The sequence below is a fragment of the Homo sapiens genome, chromosome 1 (genome assembly GCF_000001405.40).
Source record: "Homo sapiens chromosome 1, GRCh38.p14 Primary Assembly".
NCBI classification, from domain to species: Eukaryota; Metazoa; Chordata; class Mammalia; order Primates; family Hominidae; genus Homo; species Homo sapiens.
The window spans coordinates 24,712,161-24,730,008 of record NC_000001.11 but is presented as its reverse complement, the minus strand read 5'-3'; the positions used below and the strand labels follow the sequence as shown (position 1 = coordinate 24,730,008).

The window sequence follows — 17,848 nt, the reverse complement described above, 5'->3', positions numbered from 1 at the left end:
GTGCTGGGATTACAGTCGTGAGCCACCATGCCTGGCCAAGGGAAGGAGTATTTTTGTTTGTTTGAGATGGAGTCTCGTTCTGTCGCCAGGCTGGAGTGCAGTGGTGTGATCTTGGCTCACTGCAACCTCCACCTCCTGGGTTCAAGTGATTCTCCTGCCTCAGCCTCCTGAGTAACTGGGATTACAGGTGCCTGCCACCACGCCAGGCTAATTTTTGTATTTTTAGTAGAGACGGGGTTTCACCATGTTGGCCAGGCTGGTCTCGAACTCCTGACTTCAAGTAATCCACGCACCTCAGCCTCCCAAAGCGTTGGGATTACAGGTGTGAGCCACTGCGCCTGGCCAAGGGAAGGAGTCTTTTCTTCCCCTGAGCCTGCCCTTATCCTTTAACTGGTGGATCCGCCCCACAGTATAGGGACCAGTGTCCCTGGATTCACTCAGTAAGGCTCCTGAGAGGGCTGAGTATGTCCAAGCCCCACGAACCCATCTCTTGTTAGCATCAATGGCTTCTCATAGCACAGTGCTGATAGATCAGGCTAAGGGAGGCTCCGTCCCAGTCCCCACAGCACGGGAGGATGGCAAGGATGAAGAATGTAAGAGGGGGACCAAAGCATCAATTCCTGCTGATAAGAAATAAGCACTACAAGAATCAGCAGGAACAGTACATTTACAGGACCTAAAAGTGTCCACACAGATTGCTCATAGCTTGCATGAAGGAAAATTGTAACTTATGCAGAACTAGACCACCCCTTAGCCAGGTGATCAAAATTAACAGCACCCTTTCCAGGCAAACAGACCTCAGGTGCTTCCCGAAGTCACGCCCTGCAAAGCACACTATATCACTTTCGTAATGTTCCAGCTGAGAATGCAAAGCTGAATGTGTTCATGAGGAGACGTCAGATTCACCTGAGTTGAAGAACATTCTGTAAGAAAGATAACTTGCCAGGCACGGTGGCTCACGCCTGTAATCCCAACACTCTGGGAGGCCGAGGCGGGCAGATCACCTGACGTAGGGCGTTCAAGACCAGCCTGACCAATATGGAGAAACCCCATCTCTACTAAAAATACAAAATTAGCTGGGTGTGGTGGCGCATGCCTGCAATCCCAGCTACTCAGGAGGCTGAGGCAGGAGAATCGCTTGAACCGGGGAGGTGGAGATTGCGGTGAGCCAAGATCACGCCATTGCATTCCAGCCTGGGCAACAAGAGCGAAACTCCATCTCAAAAAAACAAAATAAATAAATAAATAAAAATAAAAAGGGTTGGGTGCGGTGGCTCACGCCTGTAATCCTAGCATGTTAGGAGGCTGAGGTGGGCGGATTACCTGAGTTCAGGAGTTTAAGACCAGCCCTGGCAACACGGTGAAACCCTGTCTCTACTAAAACACAAAAAATTAGCCGGGCGTGGCAGCATGTACCTGTATTCCCAGCTACTCGGGATGCTGAGACAGGAGAATTGCTTGAACCCAGGAGGCAGAGGTTGCAGTGAGCCGAGATCAGGCCACTGCACTCCACACTCCAGCCTGGGCGACAGAGCGAGACTCTGTATCTTAAAAAAAAAAAAATTATATGTATGTGTATATCCACATCTATGTCTATCAGTTTATCTCCATATATACATATAGATATGTATCCACATTTATTTTCTCTCTATATAGATGTAGATATGGATTCATATCTACTCTGTAGAAAGAGAAAATAAATGTGGCAAAATGCAAAACAATTGATGAATCTGGGTAAACGGTATTTAAGAGTTCTTTACATTATTTTTGCAAGTTTCCTGTTAGTTTGAAATTACTTCAAATTAAAATAAATGGGGGCCAGGCAAGAGGATCACCTGAGCCCAGGAGTTGGAGACCAGCCTGGCAACATGGTGAAACTCTGGCTCTACTAAAAGTACAAAAAATTAGCCGGGCATGGTGGCTTATACCTGTAGTGCCAGCTACTCGGGAGGCTGAGGTGGGAGGATTGCTATAGTCCAGGAGGTCGAGGCTGCAGTGAACCGTGATTGTGCCACTGCATTCCAGTCTGGGCAACAGAGTGAGACCCTGTCTCAAAAATTTAAATAAGTTAATTAATTACATTAAATAAACATCAAAGAGGTTCAAAGAGAGGGAAAAGCTGGATCCCCAAGTGATATTTAGGGGAATTTCCCCACTCCTGTTGGACTTAAGTGAGGTGCCAGAACTCATCCTATTACTTCTCTTTTTAAGGACTTTGTGGTGAATTAGTTGGTTTCTCTTTTGCTAACAGCCAGGAAGACACTCCAGCTGTCTTAGATCATCGTCCCCGAGGCCAACCCACAGTGTCTGGTCCTTGGGGCTGGGCCTCCTGGGCCGGCCAGCTGGGAAATAAGACAGCACTGCTCACATACTGCATCTTTCCAAAGTGAAACTGGCAAGGGAGTCTGAGCCGCTGGGGCCCACTTTTGAAAGTGGAGGGGAGAGTGCTGTTATGCTTTCTAAAAAGCTACACGTATAGGGTGTCATGGCTCACACCTGTATTCCCAGCACTTTGAGGGGCTAACACAGGTGGATCGCCTGAGGTCAGGAGTTCAAGGCCAACTTGGCAAAACCCCGTCTCTACTAAAAATATAAAAATTAGTTGGGCGTGGTGGTGCATGCCTTATAATCCCAGCTACTTGGGAGGCTGAGGCAGGACAATCACTTGAATCTGGGGGGACGGAGGTTACAGTGGGTCCAGATCGCGCCACTGCACTCCAGCCTCGGCGACAAGAGCAAAACTCCATCGAAAGAAAGAAAGAGACAGAGAGAGAGAGAGAGGAAGGAAAGAAGGAAGGAAGGAAGGTGACCTCACTGAGTGCGGTGGCTCACGCCTATAATTCCAGCACTTTGGGAGGCTGAGGTGAGAGGATTGCTTGAGTCCAGGGATTCAAGACCAGCTTGGGCAACATGGTCAGACCCTGTCTCTTCAAATAAATAAATAAAAAGTTTTTTTAATTAGTTGGGCTTGGTGGCACACACCTGTTTCAAAAAAAAAAAAAGTGTGGCCTCTCTTCTTGGTGCGGAAGTGCAGGGAGGAACGAGTGAAGAGCAGCTGCCTGCCTCACCTGGCCTGGGGTCCTGCAGGTTGAATGGGAGAGGAGAGCTTATTCATGTGGACACTTTGGAGGGAGGGAGTGCAAACCAGGACGGGCAGAGGGCATCTTTGAAGTTTTGTTCCCTGAGCTTGGAGGTGCTCATTTCTGTGGAAACAGCCACTTGGCTGGCAGCACACCGGGGCAAGTCAGCCTTGGCTCCTTCCAGGTGGAGCCAGGGTCTCTCCGAAAGGGGAATCTCTTAAAAGAGCCAGAACAGTGAATGGAAGGGGTGGGAGCCACAGATGGATTCCAAGGATAGCAAGAGGGGACTCTGCGGATTTCAGGAGACAGTCTGTTTTGTTTTTTTGTTCTTTTGATACGGAGTTTCACTCTTGTTGCCCAGGCTGGAGTGCAATGGTGCGATCTCGGCTCACCGCAACCTCTGCCTCCCGGGTTCAAGTGATTCTCCTGCCTCAGCCTCCCTAGTAGCTGGGATTACAGGCACCCGCCACCTGTAATAGCCCAGCTATTTTTTTTTTAGACGAAGTCTGACTCTGTCACCAGGCTGGAGTGCAGTGGCGTGATCTCAGCTCACGGCAACCTCCGCCTCCCAGGTTCAAGCAATTCTCCTGTCTTAGCCTCCCGAGTAGCTGGGACTACAGGCACGCACCACCACGCCCAGCTAATTTTTGTATTTTTAGTAGAGACGGGGTTTCACCATGTTTACCAGGATGGTCTCGATCTCTTGACCTCTTGATCCACCCACCTTGGCCTCCCAAAGTGCTGGGATTACAGGCGTGAGCCACCGCATCTGGCCAATTTTTTGTATTTTTAGTACGGACGAGGTTTCACTGTGTTGGCCACGCTAGTCTTGAACTCCTGACCTCAGGCGATCCACCCATCTCAGCCTCCCAAAGTGCTGGAGTCTGCTGTTGTTGTTGTTGTTGTTGTTGTCGTCGTTGTTTGAGACAGAGTCTCACTCTGTCACCCAGGCCAGAGTGCAATGGCGCCATCTCAGCTCACTGTAACCTCCGCCTCCCAGGCTCAACCGATTCTCATGCCTCAGCCTCCCGAGTAGCTGGGACTACAGGCGTGCGCCACCAGGCTTGGCTAATTTCTGTATTATTTGTAACGACAAGGTTTTGCCATGTTGCCCAGGCTGGTCTTGAACTTCTGAGCTCAAGTGATCCATCCACCTCGGCCTCCCAAAGTGCTGGAGTTACAGGCATGAGCCACCTCACCCCAGCCTATTTTTCTTTTTCTCACTTTTTCAAGATTCAACTCAAGTCCTACGAAGCAAGATCTTCTGGCTCTTGATCTTTTACATATCAGTTTCCCTGTCTCTCAGGCCTAAGGAGGGGGTCAGGCTTATACAATGGCCATCTCCCTGCCCTGCCTGCTGGAGACAAAACCCAGCTTCCCGCCTTTGTCTGTCAGATGCGGGTCTCCCTGCTGAGGCCACCACCAGCTGCTGTGATTCATGGCACTGGACTAACAGGACTTCTCTCTCTCCTTCCGGCTGCCCTCCTCCTGCAGGGATGGGGCTTGGGGAGGGCAGTAGAGGCATGTTGAAAGCATTGGCTTTGGGGTCAGACTGCCTGGAGTCATAGCCCAGCTCTGCCCTTTCAGCTGTGTGACCTTGGGCAAATTATTTAACCTCTCTATATCTCACTTTCCCCATCTGTAAAATGGGGAATAGCAATACCTCCCCTCCGTTGATAGACCTGTCCTGAGGATTGAACCCCGGGGAAGTGAGCACTCAGTAATGTTAGCTATTCTGATTATGCTATCAGCCCCGAGATGGAGGTGGGAGGAGCGAGTTCTGCTTTCAAAGGGGCCGTCTCCACACTCCTCCACTCCCAGCTACTCTGCCCCATGAAGCCCACAGATCTTTGCTTGTGCTGGGACCTCTGACCCTCTTCTCAGGCTTTTCCGGCTGGAGAAATACTTCTCATATTTCAGGATTCAGAGGCAAAGGCTCCAGGGATCTCCCACAAACACACCTCCACCCTCAGTCCAAATAAACCACTTCCTCCTCTGGATCCTGCACTGCTGGACACTGGATGCCACATTGTATTGAAATTATTTGTGTAACCCAGGGGTTCCCCCCAGGCCCCCAGCCAACAGGGGTAACTAGTTCTTTAAAGCTGCTCCCATAGCCCCCACCCAAGCTGTCCCAACGGAACCCACCTCTGCCTTTCCCCCAGCCCTCAGTGGCCACCCGTCTCAGCTCCAGGGGTGAATCCCGAGGAATGTAAGCCAATCAGCTCCTTGCATTGTCTTGGTGCTGTGGTTGGTACAGAGGTGACCACATGACCCAGCTCACCCAATCAGACTGAAGGGAAGGATTTAAATGTCTGGCTTAGGGAGCCGGCCTTCTCCTTGCTAAGGGAGCCGGCCTTCTCCTTGCTAAGGAAGACCAGGATACCTCGTCCCTTAGGTGTTGCTGGCAACCGTCTTGTTACCAAAAGGGTAGTTGCCCTTGAGCTGAAGCCAACCTAAAGGGAGGCAGCAGCGGAGACAAAGTTCCTGGGTCCCTGTGCCATCACTGAACCAGCGAATCAATCCATTCCAAGGCCAAGAATCTCCTGGGACTTCCTGTTGGTAAAATAATAGATTTCTTTCCGCGGGGCACAGTGGCTCATGCCTGTAATCCCAGCATTTTCAGAGGCCGAGGCGGGCGGATCACTTGAGGTCAGGAGTTGGAAATCAGCCTGGCCAACATGGCAAAACCCTGTCTCTACCAAAAATACAAAAATTAGCTGGGTGAGGTGGCACACGTCTGTAGTCCCAACTATTTGGGAGGCTGAGACATGAAAATCTCTTACACCCAGGAGGTGGAGGTTGCAGTGAGCCAAGATCCACCACTGCACTCCAGCCTGGGCAACAGAGTGAGACTCCATCTCAAAAAATAATAATAAAAATAATAAATAGGCTGGGCACACTGGCTCACGCCTGTAATCCCAGAACTTTGGGAGGCCGAGGCGGCAGATCACGAGGTCAGGAGTTCGAGACCAGCCTGACCAACATGATGAAACCCCGTCTCTACTAAAAAATACAAAAATTAGCTGGGTGTGGTGGTGTGCGCCTGTAATCCCAACTACTCAGGAGGCTGAAGCAGGAGAATCTCTTGAACCCAGGAGGCAGAGGTTGCAGTCAGCCGAGATCGCACCACTGCACTCCAGCCTGGGCTGGAACAAGACTCCATTTAAAAAAAGAAATCAATTATTAGCCGGGCATGGTGGTGCGCACCTGTAATCCCAGCTACTCGGGAGGCTGAGGCAGGAGAATTGCTTGAACCCAGGAGGCGGAGGTTGCAGTGAGCTGAGATCATGCCAGTGCACTCCAGCCTGGGCGACAAGAGTGAAACTCCATCATAAATTAATTAAAAATAAATTTTATGTTTAAGCCAATTGAGTCGAGTGTTCACACGTAATCACCTTGCACAAACTCACATTTAATTTATTGAGCACTTGGCCCTGTGCAGTGGCTCACGCCTCTAATCCCAGCACTTTGGGAGGCCAAGGCAGGTGAATCACTTGAACTGAAGAGGTCGAGACCAACCTGGGCAACATGGTGAAACCCCATCTCTACAAAAAATACAAAAATTAGCTGGGCATGGTGGCGCACATCCATAGTCTCAGCTACTTGTGGGGCTGAGGTAGGCAGATTGCTTGTGCTGGGAGGTTGAGGCTGTAGTGAGCCGAGATCATGCCACTGCACTCCAGCCTGGGTGATGGGAGTGAGACCCTGCCTCAAAAAAAAAAAAAATAAATAAAAATAAAAAATTGAGTGCTTAACGTCTGTCAGGCACTATTCTGAGAGCTTTATGTGCATAGATTAACACTCACTGCACTGCAGCCTGGGTGACAGAGTGAGACTGTCTCAAAATAAGCTGTATAGCTGGGTGCAGTGACTCATGCCTGTAATCCCAGCATTTTGGGAGGTCAAGGCGGGTGGATCACCTGAGGTCCGGAGTTCAAGACCAGACTGACCCACATGGAGAAACCCCATCTGTATTAAAAATACAAAATTAGCAGGGCGTGATGGCACATGCCTGTAATCCCAGCTACTAGAGAGAATGATGTAGAATTACTTGAACCTAGGAGGCGGAGATTGTGGTGAGCTATCATGCCACTGCATTCCAGCCTGGGCAACAAAAGCGAAACTCCATCTCAAAAAAAAAAAAAAAGGGCCGGGTGCGGTGGCTCACGCCTGTAATCCTGTGTCCAGAATTGGTGGGTTCTTGGTCTCACTGACTTCAAGAATAAAACCACGGACCCTCGCGGTGAGTGTTACAGTTCTCAAAGGCGGCGTGTCTGGAGTTTGTTCCTTTTGATGTTCAGATGTGTTCGGAGTTTCTTCCTTCTGGTGGGTGCACGGTCTCACTGGCTCAGGAGTGAAGCTGCAGACCTTCACGGTGAGTGTTACAGCTCTTAGGGCTCTTAAGGTGGTGCATCTGGAGTTGTTCTTTCCTCCCGGTGGGTTTGGGATCTCGCTGGCTTCAGCAGTGAAGTCACAGACCTTCATGGTGAGTGTTACAACTCATAAAGGCAGTGTGGACCCAAAGAGTGAGCAGTAGCAAGATTTATTGCAAAGAGTGAAAAAACAAAGTCTCCACAGTGTGGAAGGGAACTCCAGCGGGTTACTACTGCTACCTCAGGCAGCCTGCATTTATTCTTACCTGGCCCCACCCACATCCTGCTGATTGGTCCATTTTACAGAGAGCCGATTGGTCCATTTTACAGAGAGCTGATTGGTGCGTTTACAATCCCTGAGCTAGACACAAAAGTTCTCCATGTCCCAGCTATATTAGCTAGATATAAAGTGTCAACACAAAGGTTCTCCAAGTCCCCACCAGAGTAGCTAGATACAGAGTGTCCATTGGTGCATTCACAAACCCTGAGCTAGACACACGGTTCTGATTGGTGTGTTTACAAACCTTGAGCTAGATACAGAGTGTCCATTGGTGTATTTACAATCCCTTAGCTAGACATAAATGTTCTCCAAGTCCCCACCAGACTCAGGAGCCCAGCGGGCTTCACCCAGTGGATCCTGTACCAGGGCCACAGGTGGAGCTGCCTGCCGGTCCCGTGCCGTGTGCCCACACTCCTCAGCCCTCCGGTGGTCGATGGGACTGGGCGCTGTGGAGCAGGGGGCGGAGCTCGTCAGGGAGGCTCGGGCCGCACAGGAGCCCACGGGGGTCGGGGGAGGCTCAGGCATGGTGGGCTGCAGGTCCCGAGCCCTGCGGCGTGGGGAGGCAGCTAAGGCCCAGCGAGAAGTCGAGCACAGCAGCTGCTGGCCCAGGTGCTAAGCCCCTCATTGCCCAGGGCCGGTGGGGCCGGCCGGAGGCTCCCAGTGCGGGGCCCGCCGAGCCCACGCCCACCCGGAACTCGCGCTGGCCGCAAGCACTGCACGCAGCCCGGGTTCCCACCCGCGCCTCTCCCTCCACACCTCCCCGCAAGCTGAGGGAGCCGGCTCTGGGCTTGGCCAGCCCAGAAAGGGGCTCCCACAGTACAGCGGCGGGTTGAAGGGCTCCTCAAGCATGGCCAGAGTGGGCGTCAAGGCCGAGGAGGCGCCAAGAGCCAGTGAGGGCTGGGAGGGCTGCCAGCACACTGTCACCTCTCAATCCCAGCACTTTGGGAGGCCGAGGCGGGTGGATCACCTGAGGTCAGGAGTTCAAGACCAGCCTGATCAACATGGAGAAACCCTGTCTCTACTAAAAATACAAAATTAGCCAGGCATGGTGGCCGGTGCCTATAATCCCAGCTACTCGGGAGGCTGAGGCAGGAGAATCGCTTGAACGTGGGAGGCGGAGGTTGTGGTGAGCTGATATGGCGCCATTGCACTCCAGCCTGGGCAACAAGAGCAAAACTCCGTCTCAAAAAAAAAGAGTCTAGCAAACCTTTCCAGAGACTTCTCTTGGGCCAGCCTTCCCCATGGACTCTTGGCAGGTGGCTTCTTTCTTCAGGCTCTGAGATTTCTCTACATTCATCCTTCCCGCTGCCTTTCAGGTCTCAAGCCTTCTGCCCTCCTGCCCCATTTCCTTACCCAGAGCCCTCTCTCCTGTCCTCCAGGCCACGGCCAGGAAGAGGGCAGTGCCTTTCGCACCCAAGAAAGTCATCAAAGTATTTGGCCATGCAGAACCTTCATCTCTCCAGCCAAATGCTATGGCCTGGTTTTGTGTGTTTGTTTGTTTTCTGAGACGGAGTGTCGCTCTGTCCCCCAGGCTGGAGCACAGTGGTGCTATCTCCGCTCACCGCAACCTCTGACTCCCTGGTTCAAGTGATTCTCCTACCTCAGCCTCCCGAGTAGCTGGGATTACAGGCACGCGCCACCACGCCCAGATAATTTTTGTATTTTTAGTAGAGGTGGGGTTTCACCAGGTTGGCCAGGCTGGTCTCAATCTCCTGACCTCATGATCCACCTGCCTTGGGCCTCCCAAAGTGCTGGGATTACAGGCGTGAGCCGCCGCGCCCGGCCTGGCTTGGTTTTTAAACTCACATGTGTTTCCTCCCTGGGAGTCTGTGAGGTCCCTGAAGCTCCATGGTGGGTGGATTCTGGCCTGTGGCTCCAGGGCCCGGCCTTATTCCAGTGAGTGTCCAAGGGAGGGAGGATGGAGTTGGCGACCCCTTGCCCTTCCTGTCCTGGTCCCACCTCCCAATGAGTCAGCTTGGAGCCAGGCCTCTTGGCCTTTCCTGTTCTCCTCTCTGGCTCCGGAACAACAGCCGGATGTGAGCTGCGCCCAGGCTGTTTTGGGACTTGGCGGACTGGCAGGTGTTGGCTGACTGTCTCCTGGAGGCCAGGCCCATGACTCGGTTCCCCACATCCCACAGCCGGCCCCTGCTCTCGCCCAGAGGATGGGAGAACCCCATCCCAAGAGATGAGCCATGGATACCAGTGGATGTGTGGGTACTCAGGGTACCCCAACTCCTGAATAGAGGGGACAGGGTCAGAGAAGGCCAGAGGATGAACCCTGAAGCCAGAGGTCTTGGGTTAGAATCCTAGGCATGTTACTTTAACTCTGCCTCAACTGCCTCATCTGTAAAATAACGATGGGGATAATAATAGTCATTCTCTACAAGATTGCTGAAGAGTAAGGCCGGGGGTGGTGGCTCACGCCTGTAATCTCAGCACTTTGGGAGGTCAAGGCGGGCGGATCACCTGAGGTCGGGAGTTTGAGACCAGCCTGACCAACATGGAAAAACCCCGTCTCTACTAAAAATACAAAATTAGCCAGGCGTGGAGGCACATGCCTGTAATCCCAGCTACTCGGGAGGCTAAGGCAGAAGAATTGCTTGAAGCCAGGAGGAGGAGGTTGCAGTGAGCCGAGATTGTGCCATTGCACTCCAGCCTGGGCAACAAGAGCGAAACTCCGTCTCAAAAAAAAAAGATTGCCAAAGAATAAATGCATTTATATCTGTAAAGCACGCAAAGGAGTGCCTAGCACATGAGAAGCACTAAGTTCATGTTTGTTACATGAAAAACATAAATTCAATAAACATTTGCTAAGGGCCCACCATGTGCAGGCCCAGGTCAGGTGCTGGGGACACAGTGAACAAGGTGGACACAGCAGCTGCCCCAAGAAAGGGCATCGGGCATCTCCCGCAGGGGGACCAATTCAGTACATGAAGCGGAGCCTGGGAATCTGTTAGGGCATGGCGCTTACGGTGAAGCTGAAATTTCCATGAACAAGGCTGGGTGCAGTGGCTCATGCCTGTCATCCTCATGCTTTGGAAGGCTGAGGTGGAAGTATCCTTGAGGCAGGAATATCCTTGAGGCCAAGAGTTCAAGACCAGCCTGGGCAACATGGTGAGACCCCTATCTCTACCAAGAAAAATTAAAATCAGCTGGGTGTGGTGGTACATGCCTGTAGTCCTAGCCACTCAGGAGATTGAGGCGGAAAGATTCCTTGAGCCCAGGAGCTATGATTGCACCACTGCATTCCATCCTGGTGACAGAGCCCAACCCTGTCTCTATTTTAAAAAAAGTTCCGGCCAGGCACGGTGGCTCACGCCTGTAATCCCAGCACTTTAGGAAGTCGAGGTAGGCAGATCACTTGAGGTGAGGAGTTCAAGACCAGCCTGGCCAACATGCTGAAACCCCATCTCTGCTAAAAATACAAAAAGTAGCCAGGTGTGGTGGCGCACACCTGTAATCTCAGCTACTTGGGAGGCTGAGGCATGAGAATCGCTTGAACCTGGGAAGCGGAGGTTACAGTGAGCTGAGATCATGCCACTGCACTCCAGCCTGGGCAACAGAGTGAAACTCCGTCTCAAGAAGAAAAAAAAAAATTCCCTGAACAAATAGGGAAACTGACGCCTTGGGGAGGGGCAGGGAGCTGCTTGGGATCACTAAAAATTGGGGATCGCTTTTTTGTGAGGGGCACATAGCTGCTATTGTATTATTGTTTTTTGATTGTTCCCAATTTACCAGGGAGGAACTGAGCCAAGAAGTTAAGTAACTTAGTTGAGATCACATGACTAGGAAATGGTAGAGCCAAGATTGAACCCCAGCCAGCCTGGCTAACCAAACAGTAGCATGAGGCTGATCATTAACTGTCTTTTACTGAATATCCACAACATACTTGCAAAATACATCTTCTTCCTCACACCACCCGATGAAGGAGGTACCATTAAGGTCCGCATTTCACAGATGAAGGAACTGAGCCCCAGGGAGGTTGTGTGATTTACCCAGGGTCTCACTTCTAGGCAGTGGCAGAGTTGAGGTTTCTCGACACAGGGTTGTCCTGCTGCCCAAGACCTCTTAATTCCCAGCTGGCTTTCCCTGGCCAGGCTAGAGCCAGTGCCATCCCCCATCCATCCCATCCCTTCTAGGGTGTACGTGCAGAGAATGCAGAAGTCATTGAACTACGGTCTGGACAAATGGGCATTATGAGCAGGGTCCTTCTGCCAAGCAGCCACAGCCAAGTGGATGCTGTGCTAGACTAGCCACCTCCCCCCTCCCTCCAGCTTGACCCTAAAGTCCAGGATTCTTTGGAAAGATTAGACTCCACTAGGCTGAGAACACCGCGGTGCCAACAGCAAGGGCTTCAGCTCTACTGTACCCTCCACACACATTATGTGAAGGTGAAATTTCACAAGTACCCCAAGAAGAAGGTTCTAGTACTATCCTCATTTTTCAAGAGGCAGGACAGTAGAGGGGTAAGAGCATTGACTTGGAGCAGAGGCTGCCTGGGTTCCATCCCCTACCCGGCCACTAGGTCTGTCCAAGGCTCTGTCCTAGTCATGGCCTTGCTTACTTAACCTCTCTGGACCTCAGTCTCTTTATCACTGGGAAGAGGACGAGACTGGTACCTACACCTCATAGGGAGGATAAAAGAACTAGAAGTATTAGGATATGGGCACAGCACATAATGAGCACCATGTGTTTGCCATTTTATGGAAACTGAAGCTCAAGAAAGTTATATGACTTGGCCTACGTCACATGAGTACCACATGGAAGAGCCAGGACTTGAACTCAAGTCTGTCCAACTCCAAAGCAGCCCTCTCCTCACATACTCAGGGCATTGAGCTCCTTGATGGATGAGTAGAATTTTTAGATTGAAGGAAGGTGGACAATTCAGGTTGTTCACAGAGATGGGAATGGGCTGCATAGCAACTAGTAGTAGTTCCAGGGTGAGTGCCACATCCCCACAGCTCTAACATCCAGTCTGATGGATATTCAAGTCACTGGACACAGGATTCCGAGCGCCTACTCTGTGCCAGGTCAGGTACTAGGTATTGAGAAAGGAGAAAGAAAGCACACACAGTTCATGAAGCTCAACAATCCAGTGGGGGAGATGGATGGGCAAGTGAATCACTATGATACAGTGAAATAATGGCTCTATAGTGCTGAAGACAGGTGCAAATAGTAAATTCTCCCTGGGAAGCAGTTGAGGAAGGCTCCATGGAGGAACTGGCATTTGAACTGGACCTTTAAGAACTGAGCAAGGCCTGGCACGGTGGCTCACGCCTGTAATCCTAGCGCTTTGGGAGGCCGAGGCGAGTGGATCACCTGAGTGATTCAAGTTTGAGACCACCCTCACCAGCATGGTGAAACCCCATCTCTACCAAAAATACAAAAATTAGCCGGGCATGGTGGTGCATGCCTGTAGTCCCAGCTACTTGGGAGGCTGAGGCAGGAAAATCACTTGAACCCGGGAAGCGGAGGTTGTAGTGAGCTGAGATTGCGCCACTGCACTCCAACCTGGGCGACAGAGCAAGACTCTGTCTCAAAAAAAAAAAAGCTGAGCAAGTTCAAAACAGGAAAAGTGAATCCACCCCAGACAGAGGGCCTAGCAGGAGCAAGTGCAGAGAATCACAAGGCACATGGGGCATTCAGGGGAGTGGAGAGTTCCATATGCCCCAGGCAGGGCCGATGAGACTGCAGAAGTGGTTCAAGGTCAGAGTAGGAGGGCCTTTCTGTTGGTCAGAACTCCTGGGTTGCGAGAGACAGAAAACGCAATTCCAAGAAGCTTAGGAAAAAAGAAAATCCGTTGACTCAAAAAACTGAACATTCACCTCCTTTGAGAATGAAAGTTAAAAAGAAAAAACAATAGAGTATATTAGTGTATTTGCTTCAGGTATAGCTCAAATAAATGCTTTCAAGACTTGGCCTCTCTCTCTTCTTCTCTGCTCCTCTCTGCTTCTCCTTGCATTGGCTTCACTCTGAAGCAGGCCCTTTCCAAATGGAGGCTCCAAGCCCAGGGCAAAGAAAGATTCATTTCTCCAGATATTTATTTATTTATTTATTTTGAAATGAAGTCTTGCTCTTGTCCCTCAGTCTGGAGTGCAATGGCGTGATCTCGGTTCACTGCAACCTCTGCCTCCCGGGTTCAAGCAATTCTCCTGCCTCAGCCTCCGGAGTATCTGGGATTACAGGTGCGTACCACCACGCCCAGGTAATTTTTTGTATTTTAAGTAGAGACAAGGTTTCACCATGTTGGCCAGGCTGGTCTCAAAGTCCTGACCTCAGGTGATCCATCCGCCTTGGCCTTCCAAAGTGCTGGGATTATATGCGTGAGCCACAGCGCCCGGCCCATTTCTCCAAACATTTATACACAGGTTCTGAACTTGAATTTCATTGGACTGGTTTAGGTCACGTGACTATGTCTAAACCAATTGCTGTATAGAGGTGGTGGGAGTGGAGGTGGAACAATCGGATTGATCAAGTTGGGGTCACATGTCTAATTCTAGGCCTGAGCTCCACTCGAAACATATGGACTGAGAGTGGGGGCCCAGGTGCTTCCCCAGAAATAGAGAGACTTGGAGCTCATATGGAAAAGGAATGGATGCTGAGTGGGCAAGATGACAGCCTGAACACTGAGGTCATGGTCTTTTAGGTAGTGAGGAGTCAGTGAGGGCTTTAATTTGAGGACAGAGCAGTTTGGACTCAACTTGGGCTTTGTGAGTGAAGAAGGGAGAGATGATGGAGACAGAGATGTTTGTAGATGAAAATCTCTTTGAGAGATCCTGGAGACCTGGGGTAGCAGGCATGGAGAGGAGGGGGAGAGGCAAAGGCTGCCTGGCTGGGATGCCCCAGTTGTTACTGGAAGGGCTGCTTCAAGGACCAAGACCACGTCACCCCCTGGCTACGGGCCTTCAGATGCCAGCAAGAGCGTGGGCTAAGGGCCCAGCCTCCCTGCCCCGCAATGCCCATGACTAACTCTTTCCCTCCATCTGCCCCCGCACTTACTCACCCCCACTGGGCCCCAGAGAATCTGATCTCTCATGGTCCCAGTTGTGAGGTGGTCACCTTGTCATAAGGTGCTGGTAGTGGTGGAGGCTGGGCACCTTCACCCCTCCCAGCCTTAACAACCGCTTTCTTAGTTTCTAACCTCCCACCCCATCCCCCTGGGGCCTGGAACATCACCCCGTGGGCTCCAGGCAGGCCAGCTCCTCTCCCTGGTGAATGGAGCCATTGTAAGATCAGCCTAAGAGCTGGCAGGCACTAGCCTGGCACACGTGGCTCTCCCAGAGTCCCTAAGTCCAGCCATTCTTGGTGCTGGGTGCTTGGGCCTGCTCAGAAATGAAAGAGGAGGACTGAGGGGGCTTGGACTGCTGTAGCAGGTTTCAGGACCTGCTGCAGCTAGGCCCCTGAATATACTATGCTCGGCCTCAGGTCTGAGGGAGGAGGCTGGGGGCCAAGGCTTGACCCTGGAACCTTCAAAACTTTGGAGCAGGAGGGACTTGCCAGTTGGGCCCTGATATATCGGGGGCTTTTACCAAACTGAAAGCTGTGATGTGATAGAAAATGCCAGAACTCTGTTCCTGGTGGTCCAGCCAACCCCACAGAACTCTGGAGGGAGAGGCAGGACACTGAGGCCATCCAGGAAAATTATGAGGTTTGGGAGTTGGTGGTAAGAAAGTGGGGAGTTTGGGACTTGCCATTTCACCACAGACTGCCTTCCAGAGCCTTCCAGACGGAGCCTGGGGTGATGGTGTCAAAATACTTAGCTACTGTTTATTGAAGACTTATTAAGTGGTTAAGCACTGTGCCCAGAACTTCACATACCTTATCTCATTTAGTTTTTATAACATCCATGTAAGGCAGGTATTATCATTATTCTCAGGGCTGTCATGTACTGTTGCCCAGATTGTTCACTGCACAAAGGTACCCAGCCATAGATGAGTATGTGAAGGCTAAAATCCACCCAGTGCTCTACTCACCCACTCTGCTCCTGTTGGGTCTGTGTCTACTATAAGAAGGTCCTCTTTTTCTTATGTTATAGCTGGGAAGTTAGGCTCTGAGAAGATGAAATTACTTGTCAAAATCTTCATAACAGGTAAGTGTAAGATCAGATCTGCTGACTCCAAAATCTCTCAATGAACCACTGTACCCTCTATCTTCAGGCTTATGCACTCACACTCCTCTCTGCTCTTCTCTTTCCTCGGGACCCAACTGCTCACAGTAGGCAACGTGGCAGGAGGCAAAAGCCTGGGCCAGGAGATAGGAGACCTGGGTTGCAGGCCTGGCTCCACCTTAGCATTCACCTTTCCTCTTCACATCTTGGTCTCCTTATCTGTAAAGTGGGAATTTCAATTAGAGTTCTTTAGAAGCAAGAGAAACCAACTTGAGCTTACTGAAAAAAAAAAAAAAGGAAGGCAGTGGAAGAATCTGGGGCTGCCGGTAGAACGGAAGGAGGAGCTAAACTAGGCCTTGGATAGACCAGAAACCTCACTCCAGGGATCCAGCAATGGACGTTTGGGCTAGGTCCCTGTGGCATCCCCATGTCTATGTGAGCCACTGTGCCTGGGAGAGGGACTCATGCCCAGCTCATAGGGATTGCCTGAATCAAGTGGGCTCTGGGTGGGGAGGCTCTCTGCAGGCTGCAAAGTAGATGTGATTCAAGGGAACATCGTATATGGCTCTGTTCCTCCTGTCCCAGGAAAATGTGTGAGCAAGGCCAGCCTCTGGCCCTGGCTTGCCACTGACTGACTGCCCAAGGTTACGTGTCCTTGGGCAAGTCACTTCTTCTTCTGGTCCAGAGTTGTCTACAGAAGGTAGATGATTATCTGTAAGGCCAGTTTTTAGCTCACTAAGGTGTTAGCAACTGATTCCAGGGAATTTCAGACATTCCTGGGAGCAGTTGTTCAACCTAAAAGAATGAATCATGGATGGTGGAATTTTAGGCATCCATGAAGATGATGTTGGGTGGAGTTTTTGTGTGGTCACACCAAGTGGAAAAATGTCCACTGCACGTAGGAGACCAAGTGGGGAGAGGGGCAGCCTGGGCACGGTACCCCTACTTCGCACCTCCAGGACCTCTGCCATGAGAGGGCTACAGAGATCCCGCTCAGGGGCAAGAGGTTGGCCACATTTGAGAGCTGGGTCACTGGAAGGGCTCCAGGCAGAGGAAGAACAGCTGGCTGATGGGAGACATGGAGCCTCCTGACCACTCCTATCCCCATGCCTTTGTCAAACGGACACACATATTCATGGCAGCCGGCTGAGGCACTGTGCAAAAAGGACATCGGTTCTCCTGTCTGGGCCTCAGTTTCCACCTCTGTCAAATGGGGTAAGGTTGCTCTAACCTCATGGGGTCTTTCTAAAAATCAAATGGGACAAGACATCCGAAAGAAAACCAAGGAAACTTAGGATCTTGGTGCTGAATAAGGACTAGAATGTCAGTGTCATGGAGCAGGTCTTCTCTCTGTCTTCTGCACTACTGTATCCTCAGTGCAGCATGGAGCCAGCTGCATAGTAGGTGCTCAAAACATTATTTATTGAGGCCAGGCACAGTGGCTCACACCTGTATTCCCAGCACTTTGGGAGGCTGAGGCAGGCAGATCACTTGAGGTCAGGAGTTCGAGACCAGCCTGGCCAACATGGTGAAACCTGTCTCTACTAAAAAAAAATTACAAAAATTAGCCAGGTGCGGTGGCTCACGCCTGTAATCCCAGCACTTCGGGAGGCCTAGGTGGGTGGATCATGAGATCAGAAGTTCGAGAGCAGCCGGACCAACATGGTGAAACCCCATCTCTAATAAAAATACAAAAATTAGCTGGGCATGGTGGTGGGCGCCTGTAGTCCCAGCTACTCGGGAGGCTGAGGAAGAGAATTGCTTGAACCCAGGAGGTGGAGGTTGCAGTGAGCCAAGATCACGCCACTGCACTCCAGCCTGGGCGACAGAGCGAGACTCCGTCTCAAAAAAAAAAAAATTACAAAAATTAGCCGGGTGTGGTGGCGCTTGCCTGTAGTCCCAGCTACTTGGGAGGCTGAGGCAGGAGAATTGCTTGAACCTGGGAGGCGGAGGGGAGGTTGCAGTGAGCCAAAATCGTGCCACTGCAACTCCAGCCGGGATGACA

The 17,848-nt window shown here is 51.2% G+C and overlaps 4 annotated features.

The window, feature by feature from the left end:
• Window positions 4,377-4,671: a silencer, noted in NCBI's record as "tiled region #445; K562 Repressive non-DNase unmatched - State 8:EnhW". NCBI's record gives its function as "represses a minimal TATA promoter and a strong SV40 promoter by Sharpr-MPRA in K562 cells {active_cell/tissue: K562}" and the evidence as "EXISTENCE:reporter gene assay evidence [ECO:0000049][PMID:27701403]".
• Window positions 5,082-5,889: an enhancer, noted in NCBI's record as "NANOG-H3K27ac hESC enhancer chr1:25050611-25051418 (GRCh37/hg19 assembly coordinates)". NCBI's record gives its function as "activates a minimal SCP1, AML or CMV promoter by ChIP-STARR-seq in primed H9 embryonic stem cells {active_cell/tissue: H9 hESC(primed)}" and the evidence as "EXISTENCE:reporter gene assay evidence [ECO:0000049][PMID:30033119]".
• Window positions 9,597-9,891: an enhancer, noted in NCBI's record as "tiled region #6401; HepG2 Activating non-DNase unmatched - State 5:Enh, and K562 Activating non-DNase unmatched - State 10:DNaseD". NCBI's record gives its function as "activates a minimal TATA promoter and a strong SV40 promoter by Sharpr-MPRA in HepG2 and K562 cells {active_cell/tissue: HepG2 | K562}" and the evidence as "EXISTENCE:reporter gene assay evidence [ECO:0000049][PMID:27701403]".
• Window positions 14,111-15,310: an enhancer, noted in NCBI's record as "P300/CBP strongly-dependent group 1 enhancer chr1:25041190-25042389 (GRCh37/hg19 assembly coordinates)". NCBI's record gives its function as "activates an origin of replication core promoter dependent on BRD2, BRD4, P300/CBP, MED14 and CDK7 cofactors, with strong dependence on P300/CBP, by STARR-seq in HCT116 cells {active_cell/tissue: HCT116}" and the evidence as "EXISTENCE:reporter gene assay evidence [ECO:0000049][PMID:35650434]".